At 39.1% G+C, this 17,922-nt stretch overlaps 1 protein-coding gene across 23 annotated transcripts in view; it reads left to right on the forward strand.

The window, feature by feature from the left end:
• Positions 1-17,922, forward strand: part of MGAT5 (alpha-1,6-mannosylglycoprotein 6-beta-N-acetylglucosaminyltransferase) — a 334,687-nt gene that overhangs the window by 206,452 nt on the left and 110,313 nt on the right. For all 23 annotated transcript variants that reach the window (XM_006712534.4, XM_047444397.1, XM_047444400.1 and 20 more), the window contains 3 exons: positions 9,831-9,902; positions 11,873-12,034; positions 15,204-15,373. In XM_006712534.4, the coding sequence (XP_006712597.1) occupies positions 9,831-9,902; positions 11,873-12,034; positions 15,204-15,373 (404 nt within the window). The remainder of the gene's footprint in view (positions 1-9,830; positions 9,903-11,872; positions 12,035-15,203; positions 15,374-17,922) is intronic.

Genomic DNA, 17,922 nt, shown 5'->3' on the forward strand with positions numbered 1-17,922 from the left:
CTGCTTTCTCAGACCTTTTGACATGACCATGGTAGTTTGTAATAGTTTTCTTGTTCTGTGGTATGCCAAGATCTTCCAGATTCATCTCATACAGTTCCTGCCCTAGGCCTGGAACCAGCATCTCTAAGAACCATCTTGCTCCCCCGGCCTGCATACCACCCCAGTTTCCTTAGAAATAATGCTTAGGGGCCACAACCTGAGTGCCAAGAGCATTAATTGCTATTGATTTTTTTCTGGCTGCTGGAGATGTAACAATGAATAAACACTCCTCATTATGGTTGTGTTATGTAAGGAGAGATAGCTAGCAACATCAAAAAAGTAAGATGTATCATCTAGATTGTAGTGCATGCCTGGGGAGAAATACTAAAGAGAGGGCAAGAAGTACTTATGAGAAGTGATGGTGTCAGTTTTGGATAGAGTGGTCAGGATAGGCCCTACTGAGAAGGTGAGAAAATGATGTTGGACCATATTTGAAGAAAGTGAGGGAGTAAGAAGTGCAGATATCTGACAGGTGTTTAGCAGGCAGTGGGAAGAGAAGTGCAGTCGCCCTGGAGTGACCATTAACACCTAATGTTAACAACAAGTACAAGCAAAGTCATCTCCACAGAGAGTTTTGTCTGTTTTGTTCTCACGTACAATGATGTCTGGCACATGGGTTTATTGAATGAATGGTTCTATCTGAAGCATTTTTTAAAATTGGCTATAGTTTTTTGTTTTGAGTGGGTAACTTCTAGCTCTAACCCTTCCGATCTTAAAAAAAATGTTGTAAACTTTGTAACATTAAAATCCGCTAAGACATTTGAGTTGAGACATGAAGCAGGGGCGTTTTGAGCACTGATTAACACATTTAATATACAGTAGTCCTCTCTTATCCATGAGGGATATATTTTAAGACCCAGTGGTACCTGAAACTGAGGGTGGTACCGAACCCTCCATATACTATACTTTTTTCTTCTTCACAATGTTATGGCTTCTCTTTGGCATATCTGAATTGCCAGCATCATTACTCTTGAGCTTTGGGGCTGCTATTAAGCAAAATGAGGGTTTATTGAACACAGGCACTGAGATACTGAGACAGTTGATCTGGTAACATAAAGGCTACTAAGTGACTAATGTGAGTGGGTTGTGTCTATATCATGGATCCCCTGGACAAAGGAGCTGTTCCAGCCCTGGGCATGATGGAGCAGGAATCACAAGGTTTCATCAGCTACTAAGAGCATTGCGCAATTTAAAACTTTTGAATTGTTTATTTCTGGAATTTTTTATTTAATATTTTCAGACTGCAGTTGACTGTGGGTAGCTGAAATATTAGAAAGTGAAGCCGTGGATAAGAGAGGACTACTGTAATGCTCTGTAATATTATGAGAACATACAAGGGCTCAGATAGACTGTTAGAATGGAATGAGCCAATTGTATTAGAAGGCACAGCTTTCTTGCCCATTTTTTATTTTCATTGTCACTTAGCATAATTGCACATTAAACACAAAAAAAGAGCTATATCATTGTTGCCTAAAATATGACTACCTCTTAAAATTGAGTGACTTTAGTTGTCAAAATGTCCTTATGTGGATACAGACCAGTTGGGACCAGTTTTGCCAGCATCCAGTGGGAGCTGTGCCTAGTGAGAGTTGCTATAGAAAGTATCTCTATGCATTATCTGTTTGGTTGGCTACAGAGGAATTTATTTGCTGCTTCTCATGTATAAGGGAAAATTGGCCTTTCTCCTCTTAGAGCAATTTGGGATGGATTATTGAAAGTGTCTTATCCTCTTGTTAGAACCCCACTGGTTTTGTGGCACACTGAACACTTACTACAACATCCCTTTAAATTCTGCACCCCCCCTCACCCCTGATATGCTGAGCAGAACTCTCATGGATCCCTCTGGCCCTGTACTCTGTCTCTTGCAGGTAGCCAGTTCTGTACTTTGTGTTAATAATATTCCTCCCTGTCTTGTCAGGGGGCAGCAGTACAGTGTTAGAGGAAACACACAAGACCTGATTTGCTGTCTGGATCCCACCACTTCCCTATGTGGCTTTGAGCTTTCCCTTGAGTTTTCAGTCTGGTTTCTCCTCATTGAGGTCAAGATAAAGTCTGCTTTGCCTCCCTCAGTGTATTATTGAACGGTTCCAATAAAATGAGAACAGTAAAGCGCCGCGTAAGTGGAAAAGAGTATCATTATCATGAGTCTCTTTAGTGCCCAAGTCATGCTTTTTGATTTATTCATTCACTACTTAACAAATACTAATTGGACATTACCTGTGTGCCAGGTACTGCTTTCAGGACTGGAGATAGAGTGAGAACCAGACAGATGAGGTTTCTGTCCTCAAGGAGCTTGCATGCAGATGGGGCAGCAAACAATAAAATCAGTATATAAAAGAATTGCCTCAAGGGTTGAATACTCTGAGGAAAAATAAACTAGGGAGGATGCAGAGTGGCCAGGTCAGTGGGTCAGGGAAGGCTTCTGTAAGGAGAAGTTTGAGCATAGTGTGGAAGGAAGTAAGGGAGTGAGGCATGGAACACTCTAGAAGGAAGAGGGTTTCAAGTAGAAGGAAGAGCAAATGCAGATGCCCTGAGCTGTAGGGTTACCAGATAAAATACATTACAGCCAATGAAGTTTGAATTTCAGGTAAACAATGAGTTTTTTCAAATATAAGTATGTGACAAACGCTGTGTGGGACATACTTATACTAAAACAAAAACTGTTGTTTGTCTACGGTTAAAATGTAATTGAGTGCCCTGTTTCTTTTCCCTAAATCTGGCAACCCCACTGAGGTAGGAATGAACTTGCATGTTCTTGGGACTTGCAAGGAGGTTGGCTTATGTAGGGCAGGGTGAATGAGGCAAACAGTGTAGGAGTTGAAGTCAGATTCTATAAGATCTTGGTATAAATTCTGGGTTTTATTCTGAGAGCAAGGAGAAGCCATTGCAGCATTTGAGTATGTGTAGAATGTGATCCAATTTTGGCGTTTCGTTTGCTCTTGCTACATAGAACAAATGGTAGGAGCAAGAGTTGGAAGCAGAATTGTTGCTACATTCGTTAACCATACAGTACTGCCACGCAGCGGGAGTATAATCACTTTAAAGGATTTCATACAGAAGACCTAGGCGATGATACTCCAATATTGAAGACTGGACTGTGTTTTTGGGACTGTAGGAACCAAAAGTTTAGCCAATGTGCTTCAAATAGTGATTGAGCATATCAGCTCTGGGGCAAGACAGGTGGCATTTCCATCTTTAGCTGTATCTAGTCTGTGCTTCGGCGTCTTCATCTAGCATGATAATTAGCCTTTCTCAAGAGGTTATTTGAAAAGACCAAATGAGATGACCTGTGTAAAGGGCTTATCCTCATGCTTGGCTCCTAGTACATCGCAACTTTTATTCTTTGTCTCTCCCAGCCCACTCCCCCTACACAGCTCTTCAGATAAGGAGTCGGACCAAAATATTAATCAACTCAGGTGTTGGTGCAGAGAACTAGCCTAGAAAGCTGAACCACTTACCACTTACATGAGTAGACATCCTTTACCATCTGCATTTTATCATTAAAACTTTAGAAAGTAGAGGAATCGGGAGTTGGCATGTGGTAGAGAGAAGTGCAGGGGGCTTACTTTTTTTTAGTGTATCCCTTAATGAGTAACTTCACTGGATGTCATCAGTATAACAAATGTGTGTATGTTTATGTATGCATGTATATATAAGCGTAATCAGTGTGTCAAATGAATATTTAGATATATAGTCAACTGTATTGATTTGATATATGACCAACTAGCCTAACAGGATGACATAAATTCTATCTTTCAGATCTTATAGGATAATAAAATTAAGAGGGTTACCTGATCCAACTCTAAAGTAGATGAGAAAACTTGAAAGCCAAATGGTTTAAAATTACATGCCTAGTTATTTGCAGAGTTGGGCATAGAGTCCATTTTGACTGATCCCAGATTCAGTTATCTTTCCCCACTGAAATAGGTCTCTTATCCCTCACTAAGCTTGGCCTAAAGGTAACTCTAATGTATCCTGGTCAGAGAGGCAACAAATTTCAGTTGTCACTCAGCCCTGCCACTCACTAGAGAAGTTATAGTGGCAAATTCACATTAAGCCTTGACTTCATCCCATGTAACATGTTGCTAGTACCCGTGTTATAAGGCCCTATGGGGAATTAAATTGTGTAGTGTGTGTGTGTGTGTGTGTGTGTGTGTGTTACGAAGCCCAACATATTCTAAGCCTTCATACATGATGGTATGCTTATGTAACTCCTTTAAAAATTATTCTCTTAATGTTCATTGTGAAATGTATAATATGTAGATTAGCAAAAAGAAAATGAAAAGCACCCAGAACACCATCATCCAGAGATGATCTCAGACTTCTCGTATGCATTTCTCTCATTTAGTTTTGATTATACTTAAATCATCTGAAAAATACAGCATGAAATCCTGTGTGTTGGTGACCCATTAGAACAGAATACTTCACATTAATCATGAAAGAAAAAGCCATAACACAGACTAATCATTATTCTTTCAAAAGAATAGAACATTACTACTAAGAGTTTTGCCATATTATATCTAACAACATGCATATATACATTGGATTTATTAGTTTTCACAGTAGCTTTATTACTTTTTCTTTCCATCTTTAAACTCCAACTTGAGCTGTCTTATGTATCTGCCAGCAACTTTTTTCCCCTTAATATAATGAATTGTCCATCCTACAGACCTTAGAAATAAGTCTGACCAGATTAGACTTCTAGGGACTCAGAGAATGCTTTGATTCACAATGTTCATGTTTAAGCTGCAAAACCCTTTTTGTTCAAAGAAGTTTAAATCACTATGAGGAGGAATGTCAAAAAAACAAATTGTTGTATTTTATATCTCCTTGTTCAAGAAAAGGGATTTTATAGGGTCCTTTCCATGGAATGTGCATTGATGTTCTAAAGTTTTAGCCTGGCTGGTCTTTGTTTGTTTTTGTTTTCTCTTCATTTTGTGGCCTGAGGCTAGTGAGCTAAAAAGATTAGTTCATGTCAGAGTTTGCTTTCCAATTGAAGGTTACTGGAGGAATGCTTCTCCTCAATCGATTGTTGTGTGCGTGTTGCCGTGAGCTCAGACAGTTTTAATTTCTTAGACTTATGGTGGTAAATTGTAGGCTACTTTTAAGACTGTCCAGTCCCTTCCCTGGCAGAGGGCTTGAGGGAGGTCTTTCCCAGGCCATAAAAGCTGGGTAGAGATGGCGTTGACGGCAGGGGGTTGGTGGGGGGAGGCAGGGTACCCAGTGTGTCTCCATACTGAGGGGAAATATAAAATCATGTCCCAGGGAGAGAGTACCAGGAGCCACAGTTGAGAAAGTGTGAAGGAAGGTGGTCATAGACAGCTGTAGGACGCTAGGGCTCTGAGAGCCAAGAGTAGAAGAGCTATTGAGAATGACTTGAAATAGAACCATTTTCAGGTCAAGAAGGTGGTGGGTAGGATTCCAACTTACAAGGGACGTGAAGGACCTCTTCAAGGAGAACTACAAACCACTGCTCAATGAAATAAGAGAGGATACAAACAAATGGAAGAACATTCCATGCTCATGGGTAGGAAGAATCAATATCATGAAAAGGAAGAATCAATATCATGAAAATGGCCGTACTGCCCAAGGTAATTTATAGATTCAATGCCATCCCCATCAAGCTACCAATGACTTTCTTCACAGAATTGGAAAAAATTACTTTAAAGTTCATATGGAACCAAAAAAGAGCCTGCATCACCAAGTCAATCCTAAGCCAAAAGAACAAAGCTGGAGGCATCACGCTACCTGACTTCAAACTATACTACAAGGCTACAGTAACCAAAACAGCATGGTACTGGTACCAAAACAGAGATCTAGATCAATGGAACAGAACAGAGCCCTCAGAAATAATGCCACATATCTACAACTATCTGATCTTTGACAAACCTGAGAAAAACAAGCAATGGGGAAAGGATTCCCTATTTAATAAATGGTGCTGGGAAAACTGGCTAGCCATATGTAGAAAGCTGAAACTGGATCCCTTCCTTACACCTTATACAAAAATTAATTCAAGATGGATTAAAGACTTAAATGTTAGACCTAAAACCATAAAATCCCTAGAAGAAAACCTAGGCATTACCATTCAAGACATAGGCATGGGTAAGGACTTCATGTCTAAAATACCAAAAGCAATGGCAACAAAAGCCAAAATTGACAAAGGGGATCTAATTAAACTAAAGAACTTCTGCACAGCAAAAGAAACTACCATCAGAGTGAACAGGCAACCTACGAAATGGGAGAAAATTTTCACAACCTACTCATCTGACAAAGGGCTAATATCCAGAATCTACAATGAACTCAAACAAATTTACAAGAAAAAAACAACCCCATCAAAAAGTGGGCGAAGGACATGAACAGGCACTTCTCAAAAGAAGACATTTATGCAGCCAAAAAACACATGAAAAAATGCTCACCATCACTGGCCATCAGAGAAATGCAAATCAAAACCACAATGAGATACCATCTCCTACCAGTTAGAATGGCAATCATTAAAAAGTCAGGAAACAACAGGTGCTGTAGAGGATGTGGAGAAATAGGAACACTTTTACACTGTTGGTGGGACTGGAAACTAGTTCAACCATTGTGGAAGTCAGTGTGGCGATTCCTCAGGGATCTAGAACTAGAAATACCATTTGACCCAGCCATCCCATTACTGGGTATATAACCAAAGGACTATAAATCATGCTGCTATAAAGACACATGACATGTATGTTTATAGCGGCACTATTCACAATAGCAAAGACTTGGAACCAACCCAAATGTCCAACAATGATAGACTGGACTAAGAAAATGTGGCACATATACACCGTGGAATACTATGCAGCCATAAAAAATGATGAGTTCATGTCCTTTGTAGGGACATGGATGAAATTGGAAATCATCATTCTCAGTAAACTATTGCAAGGACACAAAACCAAACACCGCATGTTCTCACTCATAGGTGGGAATTGAACAATGAGAACACATGGACACAGGAAGGGGAACATCACACTCTGGGGACTGTTGTGGGGTGGGGGGAGGGGGGAGGGATAGCATTAGGAGATATATCTAATGCTAAATGATGAGTTAATGGGTGCAGCACACCAGCATGGCACATGTATACATATGTACCTAACCTGCACATTGTGCACATGTACCCTAAAACTTAAAGTATAATAATAATAAAAATAAAAAAAAAGAAGGTGGTGGGGCTCACCTTGGGGTCCAGCTTTATTGGTAGCATCCTCTACTGGTGGGTTAAGCTTGTTAAAGGACCCTGGACAGATCAAAAGAAAACAAAGTTAGGGATTAGGAAGTTGTTACTAGCCTTCAGCAAGATTTTCCTTGAATGTTATTAATGGTGTTCTTATTTAGGAAAATGTTGCTCATTTGAGAGCTGTTTGTTTCAGTACTTGGAGTTATTGCCAATGCTGGCTTTCTTCCAATCCTGGTAATCCTCCGAGGTTTCCCAGAGAAAGAAATGCTTTGTTTTGTTTTTCCCTTCTCCCCATGGGATAATTGGTTTATGTATAATTTAATTATTTTGTTAACCAGTTATCCTATCACAGCATACAAAAACAACCTTAAAAACCCACCTTCCCGCTCTGTGCTAAGATGTTCATAATTGATTTTCCCACCATTACGAGTGCATGTATAACAGCAAAATTTCTTGCTAAAAGCTAAATTGGATTGACTCTATATTTTATATTTTCAGGAGTGCCCTTGGAGCCTTAGGGAGTAATACCCAGTGATTTAGAATAAGAAGAACTAAGATAAATGATCAGTTTCAAAGAGGCATTACAGTCTTCAGGCTTCTGTAGGGAAGTCATCTTTTTAAAAATCACCTGGGACTGTATTTTCATCACAGTGAATCTTGAAAGATTCTTCTTGCAGTGGCAGAGTGAGGAGAGAACTTTATGAGTATCTGGTCTCGCTCATGTCTCTCCTCTTAGTTGATTTTCTTTAGTCTTGTTTCATCTTTCCCCATCATGCTATTCCTGGGAAAACTTCATCCTGGTGGGTGGCTGGTAAATTTGGTTATTTACTTGGTGTAAGGTGTATTTCAAATCTCTACTTTCCTTGCTCATCCTTTTTTTTTTTTTTTTTTTTTTTGCAGGGTTGGGGGTGGGATGGGGTGAGGTTAAAGATCTCACAATCAAGTCTACAATCCATTTGAAGTCTTCATGTTATAAATATGCTTTATTGAGTCCATTAGCACAAATCTAATTGGAGCTAAATAATTCAATCTGGCCTAAGAATACAAGGTACAGATGTGCATAATGCTACTGAGACCAGCTTAGGCTTCATCCACTTGCAGGCTTTTTCTCTGCTGTTTTTCCTCATTTTTCTCATTTGTGGAGCTGCAGATATTGCCTTTCATGGTCATGTTGTTGTCAGATCCCAGTAATTAGACTGTAGGCCTCCAAGGCAAGTTGGTCTTTTCTTTTTTATGAGTAAAAACCATTTTAGCTTTCCTTGTGGGGAATCCTTTTGAGTCTCTGAATCATTCACAAATATGGTAAGGTCTAATTTTATCCCGTAAGAAGATAAGAGAATATTTCACTTTTCCTATTCAGAGATTCCGCCCTCTCCCCAAGCTTTGCTTCTCTCTGCTTATTGCTTTGGGATCATCTGCAGTGGCAGATGGCTTTATGCAAATCAGGCCAATTACTTTGGTTATAGTAAAGATCACCTTGCATTATGAGTAACTTCCAGATTAAGTAAAACTGACATGTTTCTTTGAAAACTTACCCAGACTGAGAGGGCACACTGTCTTGTGCTGACCCATGAGGCTATAGCTCCACACGTCTCTGCTATCTTAGTGACCCCTTTAAGGACATTCCCTCACTCTATTGCTCATTAAATTTTATAGATCTACCTGGCCATAGAAAAATTATTTTCAATGCCTGTTAGCCATATTTCATAATCTCATTCTTTATTAGTAAACGGGTGATAATGCTGTCTTCAAATTTTATGGCTAGTTTTGACAGAGAACAGACACCAATATAACTTTAATGCATTTCTCATTTTTTTGCTAGAAATTAAGTTGCCTAATAGTCTTTGATAACCTTTGCTGAAATAATTTCTATAGAATCAAGTTCTTTTTTCCTTTCTCTTTCCTCCTCCCCTCAATTTCTAAACCTTATTCATTGACAGAACAATCCATCTTCCAGATTGGCTCTCACAAGATCATCAAGGTTTTTTTTTTTTCTCCTCCTTTCATTTCTTTCTCAGATAGGTTTTACCACCTTATTTCTTGAGATAGTGTGAAGCAAATAGCTAGAAAATGAGGGAAACCTTGACCAATTAGCCCTAAGCTATCAGTGGCATTCCTAACTCAGATAAAGGATTGAGTTCTGTGGCTCCAATGCCATTCCCTTTCCTTTCCAGATATGCCACAGCAGATAAGGATCTTTCCTGTCCATTTGCTAAAGGGTCACAGAGACACCTTACATTCTCATTCCCCAGTGGCAATGTTTCAGTCTTTTAACTTTCTGCCATTAGACTGCCTTTCCTTCTGGTACAGAGATGTGAGGCTTAAATGACTAAGGAATTAATTGCTGTAAAGTACTTCGAAGGACAGATGTAAAGTATAATCTCTTCCTTCTGACCTTTGCTGCTGATTGTTTCATCTGAGAGGGCACTTGTATCTGGAATACTAGCTAAAAGCATGGGAATTTGGCTAATAATAAAAATAGCACATATTAATATAGTGCTAGTTGTGTGCCAGGAGCTGTTCTCGGTGCTTTTTATGTATATTAATTCATTATAGATGAAGCTGCATATTTAGTGTCACTGATGCTTTTTAGGTTGAAAATTGGTGTCCTCATTTACCTTGGAGAGCAAAAAATCCCTACGAAGAAGCTGATCATAATTCATTGGTAAGTGATTTTGGAAAACTCTTTCTAGACTTGTGCATTTAGGTCAGATGCCAAGTGATACATGTGGAATCTTCTAGAAATGCCAACTATAACCTGAAATAGTGTTACACTGAAAAACTTCTGTATTCGTCTCTGTGGAAGTCTAAGTGACTAAATCAGTCAACCATTAGCATAGGTTTGTTTACTGAGCAATTCTCTGAGGGTTCCTGAATGATAGGCTACTGATATGAGTAAGACCTGGTACGAGCTGTGGAGGCCCTTAGTGATCTAATAAGGCTGATGGCAAATAATGACCATCTCTGTCACAAATGCTGTAATATAGGCCTGTGGGAATTAATGAGGAAGAGGTCATTTTAGTCTGCAAGGTTCAGGGTAGATTGAATAGTGAAGATGACATTGGGGCCGAATTTAAATGATGAGTGAGTTTATATAAGGTCAAGGAGAAAAGGGTATCTCTCGTGTGGGAAAATGAGAGCATAGCAGTTTCAGGGAGGAGAGCATGCACGCATGGTTCAGTTGGCCAAGGCCATAGGTGACTGGATGAGCTAGGCTGAAGGTGAAATTGGGAAGGTAGGAAGGGGACTGTGAAAGTACTTGTTGCCACATTAAAAGCTTAAGTCTTTACTCTTTAGACCATAGATCACTAAACTTCTACAAAATACCCAGATAGTAAATAGTTTCATCTTTGCAGGCCATATTGGTCTCATTGCAGCTCCTCAGTTCTGCCATTGTAGCGCAGAGAGCAGCTGTATATGATATGTAAATGAAGGGGCATGGCTGAGTTCCAGTAAAATTTTATGCACAAAAACAAGCTGTGAGGATTTAGCCCAAGGGCTGTAGTTTGCTGTTCCATGCTGTAAACCACAGGAGTCGTAGGATATTGTTTAGTCAAGAAGGGAAATGAAACTGGATGTGGCGGCTCATGCCTGTAATTTCAGCACTTTAGGAGGCTGAGGCAGGAGGATTGCTTGAGGCCAGCCATTTGAGACCAGCCTGGGCAATACAGCAGGACCCCATCACTACAAAAAATTTAAAAACTAGCTGAGCGTGGTGGCGAGTGCCTATAGTTTCAGCTACTTGGAAGGCTGAGGTGACAAGAGGATCGCTTGAGCGCAAGTTCAAGGCTCCAGTGAGCTGTGATTATGCCACTGCATTCCAGTCTGGGTGGGAGTGTGAGACCCTATCTCAAAGGGGGATAAAGAAGGAAAAGAGATGAGTGTTCAGAATGAGCTATGGTGATTACTGAAAAGGTGGACTCAGCATGTTTGAGATGTTCTATGAAATAAATACTGGTTATTATGTTTCTCTATTATTCCAATCACTCGTTGTATCCAGCTATATTATCCAGAGCATTAGGAAAAATATTCTTCCTGGCTTTTAATTTATTCTGTTTGGAATTTTAAATTGTTCTCACTCATGGCAGAAAAGTAGTATTCTTGGCTCTTTAAATTCCTTAGAAAACAATGAATTTTTGTTTGGACTGGGACAAAACCAGAAGATGAGCATTTATTTCCCTATTTAACTCTGTGGACAGAAAGAGGCTTTCTGGCAACTTCCACGTTGTCAAACAGCCTGCTAAGAATTGACTTCAGTTTTCTTAGAAGTCTGCTGTCCTGTGGTAGATCCAAGTGGAACAGTAAATTTGAGTGCTGAGAATTTCAAGGTACATCAACCATACTCATTATAAAAACTGCATTTTAACATAGCTCAGGGCTTTGTAATGCCTGTGCTGCTTTTCTCAATTTCTAATTTTTTAATGATGTCCCTTTGGGCAGATCAGCAGTCAGCAGCCTTGGCTTCAGTTTGCAATCCTGGGACCTTAAAGTCAAAGCTGCAGCAGACAAGACTTACTTTTGAAGCTCTCAATTTAATTGACTAACCCTTTTAAGTTTTCAGATGTCACATCATGAAAACTATTATGCTTTCTGACTTTTTATCTTCTATTCATTTTATTAAATTTCTGTTGCTAGGCGGAAATTCGTACAGATTTTAATATTCTCTACAGTATGATGAAAAAGCATGAAGAATTCCGGTGGATGAGACTACGGATCCGGCGAATGGCTGACGCATGGATCCAAGCAATCAAGTCCCTGGCAGAAAAGCAGAACCTTGAAAAGAGAAAGCGGAAGAAAGTGAGTTTCTTATTAATTCAGTGCAGTTAGATGCCAGCTTTCTTTTAAAATTTGATTTTGCTTGGAAACAAGACTAAGAGAAATGTCATATCTCAAATGATATTCTCTCAGGGTGAATCTGCTCAGTCTCTTGTACAGCTGTTTTTGGGTTGTCCTTTCCCCACTTACAATGCTCCCACTTAGCAGGGTCTGGCACAAGTTTCTTGGGTGAAGCCAAGCAGAATATCTGCCTGTAAGACTTTTCCTTTGAACCTGTCTTTGTCAGGGTATCAGGAAACTTTCCCCCATTTCCTTACCTGAATCCAACCTTCGAGAGCTTCCTATTATATCATCATGAAAATTTTGTATTTTTGTTGTTTTTCATCCCTGGCTTTTGGATAGCCAGTGAGTTTCATTGTTACTCTGTCTGGTTGGTGCTTCTGCTTATGCCCGTAGGGGAGAGAGAGAGAGAAATTTGATTAAATTTGAGCCAGTTTCTTTCTAGTTTATGAGGACAGGCTTGGAAAACCTCTCGAATACCCCTGGGCTTAGAAGACTTTATGCCCTGTTAGCTATAGATTTGATGGTCTGGCTTTAGATTAACTGTTCTGTTCTGATTTCAGAACTGAGCAAAGTGAGTAATTTGCTCCCACATCTAAAAAACTTAAAAATGAGTTTGGTATTCCTAATCCAACTAATTTGATATGTTTGAAAAAGAAAATAAAGATACATTTACAGGATCCCAAGTCACAGTTTGATAGGTCAGTTTTGCCTAGATCTCTTGAATTTGTGAGACAACAGGACCACACATTCTGTCACCAAATGGTTGTGTATGGAAGAGCATGTGTTCAGATGTGCAGGTGGGCTGTAAAAAGAAATAAAGAATTTTTCTGTATATTCCTGTGGAGTAACCTCGAGGATATATTGTTAGGTGAAGAAAAGTAGAGAATAGTTTACATTATTTTTGAGAGAGAGAGGGAATTTATATCTATGTATACATAAAGATATATACAGATACATATATTTGCTTCTTGCTGTTAGTTTGAAAACGTATTTTTCTTATTTTGATAAACTAAAATTAAAAATAAAGGAGATGGTGATGATGGTTGCACAATAATGTGAATGTGCTTCATGCTACTGAACTGTATACATTAAAATAGTAAATTTTATGTTAGGTGAATTTTACTGCAATAAGGAAAAAAATGGTCCAATTATTAAGGGGAGTTGGGATTAGCATGGAGGCAACAGAAACTACCATAGAAACTAGACTTCTGAATATATCTGACTTTGTAGATTTGATGCTGGAATCATTTTATGTAAGTGTTAAACAAAATGTTATTACCAAAAACTAAAAATTAAAAGGAATATAAAACAAATGAACTGACTATATATCCATCCAGTTTTGATGGAAGCGCACAGAAAAAGACTGTTCTTAGTGACTTCAGAACACAGTAAACTGTACACTTCTGATGGGATATCACAAAGGATAAAAACTGTAAAAACATCTTAAAACCATTTTTATTAATCATGTAATATGTGGTAGCATTGATATTCTCATTCTGAATCCATTGTGAACATTGGAGTAAAGCAGATGAGTAATTATGTTAGTGTCTTTGAGAAGTGGGATTTGCAGTGTGGAAGAGAAGAATTAATGGATGGTAGGATTGGTGATGTTATGTAAAAACACTATGACCTTGAGTTTGAATTGGAAGCACCAGTCTAAACTCATGATTTGTTTTATCTTTGAGGAAGAACAAATTTCCTAGCTAGGGCCACTATCAGGCCTATAAATAGTAATAAAATTGAGTCCCTTAAGCCCCACACTTTAGTCTCTAAATGCTGTTTCTACTAAGTGGTATAAGAGGTTCTTGGAAAAATGGCTTATTAAGGTCCAAGACAGAAGTTGTACCTGTTGAGCCTACAACAGTCTTGTCAGGCACATCTGTCTACCCATGTGCAGAGAAGCTGTCAAAGAAGACTAGGATCGTGTCAAAAGAACTTAGGAGCCAGCTTGGATAGCCTACCACAGGCCTAGATGGGACAATTGGATAGTCAGTGAGAGGAATATCCACAATATTTTGAAGCATATCAAATATGCTTTGATGTCATAATGATTTTTTAAATTAAAAATCCTCATAGATCATCATTAGAGTAGGCTAAAGAACAAGTTTATTATTCTGAAAAACTGGCAAATGAAGAGAAAGAATCAAGTATTTACCAGGCTCCTTCTTTACAAACCTTAGAGTTACCTCAGGGTGACCAAATGGTTGATGAGGGGTAGTTTCTCTTTATAGAGAGGTATTATTCCAGCTAATAAACAAAGAAGGAATGGTAAAATATCATCATTTTGCAGTCCGTAATGGATTAATGGATCTAGCTAGTGACCATCCAGGACTGCTAACATCCCAAGACAGAGACACCTGTACATTGTTTTCTATGAGGCCAAGAGACATATGAGGCAATTATTACGTATGCTCTCTGACTCTTGAATCACACAGGTGCATTTAGAAAAAATAAAGGGCAGTTGAAGAAGTATGAATATTAACTGGATATCAGATGATGTTAAGGAATTACTAGGTTTTTTAGGGATAATAGTGATGTTCAAGTTATATTTTTCAAGTGAAGGTTTGTTCCTTTTAGGGATACATACCGAAATATTTACAGATGAAAGGATATGTCTAGAATTTGTTTTGAGATAATCTAGAGGGGTTGGGAGAAAATGGGGGTATAGATTAAATATGCATTAATAATTGTTGAAGCTACACAGTAATTACTTTGGCATTGACTATATTGTCATGTTTGCCTTTCCATGTGTTTGAAATTTTCCATGGTAAGAGGTTAGAAGTATTTTAGCTGTAGATAAAAGACCAATAGTGTTAGAAAATACTGTCCTGTCTTACCTTCCTTTAATCCCGATTTTACAAATACACTGTGCTTTTAAAAGGTGGAATTATCTGTCCATACCTTGTACTCATAGCCATACCAAGGGCTGCAGTGATTTTGTTTCTCTAAAACCACAATGAAAAATGATTTCCTTCCTTTGTACCTTCTAGAAAAACAGCATTCCCCACCCTTTGATTTTGTTAGGATGTAAACATGACTTTGGGATTGGTCAATCATTTCTTGGCGCATTACTGTGCCTTTTGTATGTGGTTCAGTGTGAATCAGTATATGCCTCTTTGTTTTCCAGGTCCTCGTTCACCTGGGACTCCTGACCAAGGAATCTGGATTTAAGATTGCAGAGACAGCTTTCAGTGGTGGCCCTCTTGGTGAATTAGTTCAATGGAGTGATTTAATTACATCTCTGTACTTACTGGGCCATGACATTAGGATTTCAGCTTCACTGGCTGAGCTCAAGGAGTAAGGAGATTACTTTTCAATTTTAAAATCAGAATACAAAAAAGAAATTGTAAACTCTTAAAGTATTACCTCTATTAGTGTATAATTTTTTGTCGAGGAAAATGAAAGTGATAATTCACTAAACAGGAGATAAGAAGATTATTTTCAGGAGCTAAATACATACACTGTGAAAAGGATAATATGTTTTCATTGTCGCTGAAGGCTCCAGAGGCTTCATAAATGAATGCCAGAAAATTCAAACTAAGGAGCTTATTCTTTGCTATTACAGGTGCTTCCAACATCTGGAGCACAAAACATTATTGACTTTCCTAATTCCCTGTCTCTTGCTGAAATTCATACCACTGCCTACTCAACATCAATCTTGCTAAATCTTGAAACAGGGCAGGTTCCTGTTTGTAATTCAATTTGGATAGAATAAATTTCCTGAAAGCCCTGAGCTGATCCTTTTTCAATTAGCCAACTTTCAGCTGAGTCTGTTAACTCTACTTGGGTTTTTCATTTCACTGAAATTTGCTTCTAGCTCCAGCCCTCCTGTAATCCCTTCTATATTGGCATAGCTGGCTGAGCAGGGACGCTTCCATCCCCTGCAGTCACTTAGGATTACTGCCCATGGAGACTTCCCACCCAACAGTCAAGTTGCCATGTTGCTATATGTCGTATATTTCCAGAAGGAATACCTTGAATGAACATTCTAGAGCTCATTGAGATGAGAGACATGTTAAAACAATATATGGTGGCTCCCAGCACTTCGGGAGGCCAAGGTAGGTAGATCACTTGAGGCCAGGGGTTCAAGAACAACCTGGCCAACATGGTGAGACCCTGTCTGTACTAAAAATACAAGAATTAACCGGGTGTGGTGGCCCATGCCTGTAGTCCCATCTACTCGAGAGGCAGAGGCTGCAGTGAGCCGAGATCATGCCACTGCACTCCAGCCTGAGTGACAGAGCAAGTCTCTGTCTTAAAAAAAAAAAAAAAAAATTGGATACACAACCTACAAAGTGGCTGCATTTATACAGTTAGCAGTCACTCATCTGGTGTCTTCTGTAGGCTAGTTTTGGTGTCGGGCATACAGAGATGGCCAGCTTGTGGTCAAAGATCTTGCTGCCAATCTTTTGATAATTACAACTAATATATTAAAAATAATTACACAAATTCCAATTCTATTGGTGCTAATTGAGGTGTACGTGGATGCTAGAATGTAAGCACTGGGATTGCAGAAAACTGAGTATCGTTTGTCACTGTGTAGTGGGCACCTAGATAGTGCCTAGCAAGTAATGAGTACTCACATAACTATTTATAGAATGAATGAGTGAAGGAATAAATAGGTGAATGAATGAGTGGGTAGGTAAATAAATGGAGTGCTGTGGTAGAACCAGGGACAAGTACTGCCTGGGGAGGTCAGGAAAGACATGTTAGGGATTTATCAGTCAGAGACTGAATTTGATGGTCAAGGGAAAATTTGTTCAGTATGTCCTCACTTAACATCGTTGATAGGTTCTTGGAAACTAGGACTATAAATGAAATTATGTAAAATGAAACCAATTTTTTTCATCAACATTATAACCAGTGATTTGAAGGAAATGACTTTATTGGAGGGCCTGCTATCTGTTGTTTTGTTTAAAGTCCCAGTTTTCAGGAACCTATTGATGATGTTAAGTGAGGACTTAATTCTAGTAGTCTTTATGCACACTGGGGTCAGGGCTAGATGTGTTTTGTTTAAGAAGATAATTGTGGAAGCAGTATAGAGCAGTGGTCTTTAAATATATCTGTACGTTAGAACCACCTGGAGATCTTTGTATTTATTTCTTAATTTTGGGGGATCTTTTAAAAATCCCATAGACCATGCCATAGGCTAATTAGATCACAACCCTTGGGGGTAGGACACAGCCATAAGTATTTTGTGATGCCTCCAGGTAATTTCATTATACAGACAAGTTTGGGAAACACTGAACATGGGGTGGACCAGAGATCAGCAAACTATGGCTCAGCAGGCCAAATCAGCCCTCTGTCTTTTTTTGTAAATACAGTTTCATGGGAACACAGCCATGCCTATTGTTTACGTATCATATATAGCTGTCTTCATTCCACAACGGGAGAATGGGCCAGTTGTGACTGAAAATGTATGGCCTGCAAAGATGAAGATAATCACTGTCTGGCCCTTAACAGAAAGGGTTTTCTGACTCTTGGGAGGAAACTGGTTCTGCAGAACCTAGTTCTTTCATAAACAGGGGAGAGGAAGAAGGGTGGCTGATGTGGTGGTAGTACAGAGCTGTCAAGCAGAGTCCTGTTTGTGACTCTCGTCCTTTGAAGCAGGATATCCATAATTTGGTGAAGGATTATCATGGGGTGTTGCAGATAAGCAACAGTGGTGACTGATTAGTGAGTGGATGGCAGTAGGGTTAGCACTGACTCGTTCCTACACATGAAGTTGGCCTACCAATCAAGTACATCGTCACGCTCTGAGCGCAAGTATGGTTTTGTGTGGATGGATGCATGGGTGGGGGAAAGGGTGATTAAAAAAAACTGTAAACCATAGTGCTAGTTCTGTA

Source organism: Homo sapiens, chromosome 2 (assembly GCF_000001405.40).
Source record: "Homo sapiens chromosome 2, GRCh38.p14 Primary Assembly".
Classification (NCBI taxonomy): domain Eukaryota; kingdom Metazoa; phylum Chordata; class Mammalia; order Primates; family Hominidae; genus Homo; species Homo sapiens.